This window comes from Homo sapiens, chromosome 5 (genome assembly GCF_000001405.40).
Source record: "Homo sapiens chromosome 5, GRCh38.p14 Primary Assembly".
Lineage (NCBI taxonomy): Eukaryota > Metazoa > Chordata > Mammalia > Primates > Hominidae > Homo > Homo sapiens.
The window spans coordinates 122,154,100-122,160,147 of NC_000005.10; the positions used below are offsets into that span (position 1 = coordinate 122,154,100).

The 6,048-nt window shown below is 40.8% G+C and overlaps 1 long non-coding RNA gene across 1 annotated transcript in view; it reads right to left on the reverse strand.

The window, feature by feature from the left end:
- Nucleotides 1-795, reverse strand: part of ZNF474-AS1 (ZNF474 antisense RNA 1) — a 41,478-nt gene extending 40,683 nt beyond the window's left edge. The window contains exon 1 of the long non-coding RNA XR_007058915.1: nucleotides 525-795. This is a non-coding gene — a long non-coding RNA (ZNF474 antisense RNA 1). The remainder of the gene's footprint in view (nucleotides 1-524) is intronic.
- Between the last annotated feature and the right edge of the window lie 5,253 nt (nucleotides 796-6,048).

Below are 6,048 nucleotides of genomic sequence, written 5' to 3' on the forward strand. Positions count from 1 at the left end.
GGATAATGTAAAGCCCAGCCTGCAGGGATAATGGATTCTTAAGAAAACTAAGATTAGGCCGGGTGTGGTGGTTCATGCCTGTAATCCCAGCACTTTGGGAGGCCAAATCCTGAAGTCAGCAGTTCAAGATCAGCTTGACCAATATGTCTCTACTAAAAATACAAAAATTAGCTGGGCATGACTGTAGTCCCAGCTACTCGGGAGGCTGAGACAGGAGAATTGCTCGAACCCAGGAGTTGGAGGTTGCAATGAGCTGAAATCACGCACTGCACTCCAGCCTGGGTGACAGACTGAGGCTGCATCTCAAAAAAAAAAAAAAAAAGAAAAAGAAAGACAGACAGAAAAAAAGAAAACGAAGATTATACCAAGCTATTGTAAAAGATTAAACCAAAGGAATTGGTTGGGGAGGCGGCATTCTTTATTTCTAATATGATTTTTCTTTCTTTTTTATTTTATTACTTTGAGGACTGTCTAGTCCTTTGCTCCTAAATTCCATGTTTAAAATAAAATAAGTATGGTCTTACTGGTTTAGAAGATTCCAAGACAATGATTCGAAAGCTGAAGAGTCACTCACAGCTGCTGGGCAAGTTTTCCGATGAACATTGAAGAAAAAACAGCTAGTTTCTTTGCCTAACGAAAAACCAAACTCCTCAGTGTGGCATGGTCTTCAAGCTGGTCTTATAAACGTGACCTGTTTTTCCCATCTTCTGTCTGTTGCTTTTCTTCCATAACCTGTGGGGTCTGGATTCACAGAGTACAAGAAGCTGTGTCTCAGGGCTACAAATCAGAAACTCTGTTCAATTTCTGCCTTACAGAACTGTTTCTTGATTGTATGTATTTACTTCAAATGTTCTCATTACAGATCTAGAGATAGGGAAGCGTGTGGTCAGTATTCTTGTGCTTGTTGTTGTAACACATACTTTGTGCTCAAGAGTGGAGCCAACAGGCTGAGCACAGCATGTTCTTACTCAGTAACGATGGCTGAAACTGGCTGGCTTGGGCCCCCAGCTTCCCGAGGAAACACCTTCCTGACTCACCCGGTCATCTGGAGGGGAGAATGTCAGGAGAGGCCAGCGATGGCCCTTCAGTGACTCGACTTATGCATTTAGACAAGAGTAGGGGGAGGCGGTCTAGAGGACATGACTATGTCAGAGCACACCCAACCCTGCTCTCAGGCCTGAGAACACACATGTGAATGGGAAATTGGCCCCGACCACTGTCAGATGTGTGCTGGCCTGTTTGGGGACCACACAAGATTCAGTAGAGGGCATAGAAGGGTCATCCAACATAGGGACCCTTTGGCTGCCAGGCTTAAAACAAGCTTGGGTTAGTTATGAAGGAGAAAGCTCTTAGGCTTCCAGGGAGCATAAGAACTTTCAAAGCAGTGGGCTTTAGCCCTTTCTTAGAGAAGATATTTACCCTTCCATAGTGCTTTCAGCAGAAAGCCTTTCCTTCACTGTGTAGTTTAGTTATGATTTGATCCTCCCTATAGATATTTTTCTATCATTTAAATTTTAGTGCTGTGAATTACTCATTTTCCATAAAGAACACTACTCTAATGATTATTAGATTTCAGAATTTCATCTGTCTGTGAAAGCTGACTTTTGGCAGCCTGTGACTCTCACACATTCCTTCTTACAATTCAGATTTCCCCCCGGAATCCTTGGTCTGATTTCAGATTAGAATCAGCTATCGTGCCTTATGTTCTCACAGGGTTCAATCTTGTAGTGGATTCAGGTGAGAGAAACAGTTTCGGAACTATGATCATAGTACTTGGAAAACAATTCACTCCAGTGACCCCACAGTCACTGTTTCACTGGCAGAATGAATTACCTTTCCCTCAGAATGTTTCTCCAAAATAGATTGGCTCAGGTCCCTTATGATACAGATGCTCCTGTGATCCTTCTATCAAATCTAAACACAAACACCGATTAGACAAGCTCTGCTCCAAGATCTCAGTGGGCATTTTGCATTGCCTTCTAACCAATATGTTGGCTCAAATTGTCTCACTGTTTCACATCCAAAGTATAGCACTGAACTCACTCTTCCTGATCTCCCGGGAAAGTTGTGAAGGACACTAAACAGTATTTAAGAGGAATAAAACCTTCAGTGTGGATTTTTATTTAAAAGGTGGGATGGTCCTGGGACTGTGTTTATGTATTTCATGGTGTAATGAGCAGCAGCACACTTCCTTTCTTTCCTCTAAAAGAAAAGCCTAGATGGGTAATACCAATTTAGCAAAAATTTAAAAGGGGTGTCAATTGCAGACAAAATTTTGATTCATAATATGGATCAAACTATATATTAATATTTTAAATTTTAATATCACATACATTTAATGAGATTCTTTGATGTCATTTTAGTAAATTATTTTCTAAGCTATGCTGAGGGATATAATAGAAGTAATTATTCTTATTTTAATGTGAATGAATAAATTTTAATATTTGCATTTAATAGTTGATAAAATTTTGCCTGTTTTTAGAAGCTGATTGTAACTCATTCTTTAGCTTTAGGCCCTTTCAAGCTAATTGGAACAGAAGAGAGCTAATTAACTATAAACCAGAATGAAGCTTTTGTCTAATAAGTTTTTATTAGGTAAGGCTTGGGGTTATTTTCCTAGGATTTCACTTGTAACATTTGAAACGCTGTTCCTAAAAACCTTGTTCTATATTGCAAAATATGTATTATTTTTCTTAAGGGGAACTATCTTTTCTATAAATGATTGTCTCTCTAAACACAGTTTTAAGCTACTTTCAGCATCCTCAGTCCTCAGGTTTGAGCTAAAGCCCCATCAGACACATCTCCAGCATCTGGTGCTGCCATCTGGTGTTTTCTTTTAAAGTAATGTGTTCTGTGCTATCAAATAATATTATTGACTTTTTCCTCCTTTGTGTCATCCCCAAATGTATTTGAGAAGGTGCCCTTATTAGATAAACTCCAGTTATTTAGTGCTAGAGTTACATATTTGATTTAAAGCTACAAATGTTCTTCTCTGGCTAAGTATCTTATTCTTTACAGGCAAAACTCACAGTGGGAAGAGCATAATCAGAAAAACACATGAGGGCAGGATATTCTCATCTTTTCAAATTCTGCATGTGTATCTATTAGGTAAGAAGAATTTGGAGTTTGGGGGAAGGCATGGAAGACAGGCAACTAACTTTTACTGAATGCCTTTATGTCTTAGTCCATATGTGTTGCTATAACAAAATACCAAAGACTGAGTAGTTTATAAAGAACAGAAATTTATATTTCATGGTTCCAGAGGCTGGGAAGTCCGAAATCAAGGTACCAGCAGGATTTTTATGAACTTGTGAGGAATGCTCTACTTCCAAGATGGTAATTAGTTGCTAGATCCTCCAGAGGGGAGAAATGCTGTGGTGGAAGGGATGGAAATGCAAGAAGGGTGCTCCCTCTTCTAACCTTGATCCCTTTTATAAGGGTGTGAAGCCCATTCATGAAGGTGGTGCCTTCACAGCTTAATCGCCTCACAAAGGCCACACCTCTTAACATTGTTGCACTAGGAAGTAAGATCCACTGTGAATTTTGGAGGAGACACCACCATTGAAACCACAGCACCTTATGATTAGCATTTTATATACCTGATGTCATTTTAATTCTCATTATATTACTATAAGATAAACATTATTTTCCCACTTTCCAGGTTGGGAGATTGTGGTTAAGCAACTTGCTTAAAGTCATACAGTGGGTTCGCAAGTGGCTGTCAGAGCCATTCTGTCTAATTCCAAAAATTCATATATTTTCATGTCACTGTGAAAGGGGCATAGAAGTGATATAAAAAATGGGTGTCGCTACCCTGCCGACCTGTGAGTGTTAGACAGGAAGAAGAGGACAGAATTCCATTCATTCATTAATACTTATCATTAGGCATTGGATGAAGTACTAAATATAGAGTCATAAAAATATAGGCACAGTTCTTGACCTCTTGGAGTTTGTAGTCCTATTGAGGAAATCATATGGAATTTTTAAAAAATATACAATTTAAAATTGTGATATGACAGTGTGGAATGGTGGAAGACAAACATTCAGGATCTTGGCTAGAGAAAACCTGTGGGAGGAAGATATTTCAGCTAAGACATAAAAGGTGTGAAAGCACTAGCCAAGAGGAAACATGTGGAGGAAGGGAATGGTTAGAGAAAAAGACATTCGGATCAATGGCAGCATGTATGAAGGTCCTGAGGTAAGGAAGATCTTATAATGAAGTGAAAGAGTGCACATGTGGCCAGGGCCTAATGAGAGAGGGAACAGGCACATGATGAGGCTGAAGAGGTAGCATAGTTTCCTCCAGCTGCTCTGTCAACACAGGGACATCAGTAGTTTGGTTACTGCAGGAACCCAGGTGAGAGCTGGTGATGCTTTGGCATATCATGTTGGTAGCAGAGATAAAGATAAGGTACAATGGGCAGATCTTGGTGATAGTTGGGATGTGGAGGGTAAGAAAGAGGGTCAAGGATGACTCCCAGATTTCTAGCTTGAGCAACTGCACTAGTAGTACCATTTTCTAAGATGAAGAAGACTGTGGAAGGGTTGGATTTGGGGAAGTAAGATCTATAGTTTAATTCTGGCCTTATCAAATTCAAAATGCATATGAGATATTTGACTTAAACTGGATCTATGAGTCTGGAACTCAGAAGGGAGGACTGGGCTGGGATATACATTTGTGCATTATAAACATATATTTAAAGCAATCAGAATGAATACTCAGATAGAAAAACGGCCCAGGGCTGAGCCCTGAGATACAATATTTAGGGACTAGAGGGGAAGAAGCTGGAGAATGAAGGTCTGGAGATGCAAGAGAAAGGCCTAGAGTAGGGTGCCGTGAAAGCTGAGATCAGACAAATGTTCTAAATAAAGGCGTGGAAAACAGTGTTTTATACTGAGATGTTGAGTAGAATGAGGACCAAAAAATATTTAATTTGGCAGTGTGGATGCAGCTGCTAACCTTGGAAAGCACACAGTGCAGTGGTGAGAGCTGCAGAGCATATGGAGAATAAAGATAGAATGTGTTTTGAGAAGTATGGCTTTGAAGACTAGAAGAGAAATAGTAGGTTGGCTAGGAATAGAGATACTGGGATGAGAGGTTTTTTTTAAAAGGTGGGAGCTTCTAGATTATGTTTTAATGCTTAGAATAATGATCCAGTGGAGAAAAGGAGGTTGAAGAAGCAAGAGAGGTGATCAGAGAAAGTGCAAAACCTGGAAAAAAAATAGGCACCAGGAGATGGGATCACCAGTGTGTGCAGAAGGAAGGTCTTCGATAGGAGAGGGCAATTTTTTTGTTTCAGGAGAGTGATGAACACAGATGAAGGCAAGCCTGTAGGTTATTAGTGGGGAGATAAGGTAAATACTACCTGTTAGCTTGTATCTCAAATTTTCTCGATGAAATATCGGGCAATCTTATCAAGCCTATCGGATGAGAAAGAGAGAGGTATAAAGAGATAGAAAAAGATTAATGTTAAGAACCTTCTTAGTCCTTTGTCTCTTCATGCCTTCTGTTAAAACTGAGCTCCTGAAATCAAGACTAAGTCTTTTAGAGGCCGGGCGCGGTGGCTCACGCCTGTAATCCCAGCACTTTGGGAGGCCGAGGCGGGTGGATCACGAGGTCAGGAGATCAAGACCATCCTGGCTAACATGGTGAAACCCTGTCTCTACTAAAAACACAAAAAGTTAGCCGGGCATGGTGGCGGGTGCCTGTAGTCCCAGCTACTCGGGAGGCTGAGGCAGGAGAATGGCGTGAACCTGGGAGGCGGAGCTTGCAGTGAGCCGAGATCGCTCCACTGCACTCCAGCCTGGGCGACAGAGCGAGACTCCGTCTCAAAAAAAAAAAGACTAAGTCTTTTAGAATTATTTCCCTCTATGATCTCCGCTTCTTTGGAGGTGGTAGATGAAACCTTCAGTGGGATCCTACTTGTAGATCCGACCTTTTTAATAATCTTCAGTGGTCCTAGTTCACCTCCTCAGCTGTGCTGATGTCATGAAAACCAGCCTTGACCTCACAAACTACCCCTTGATGATGCTGACCGCTGGACTACT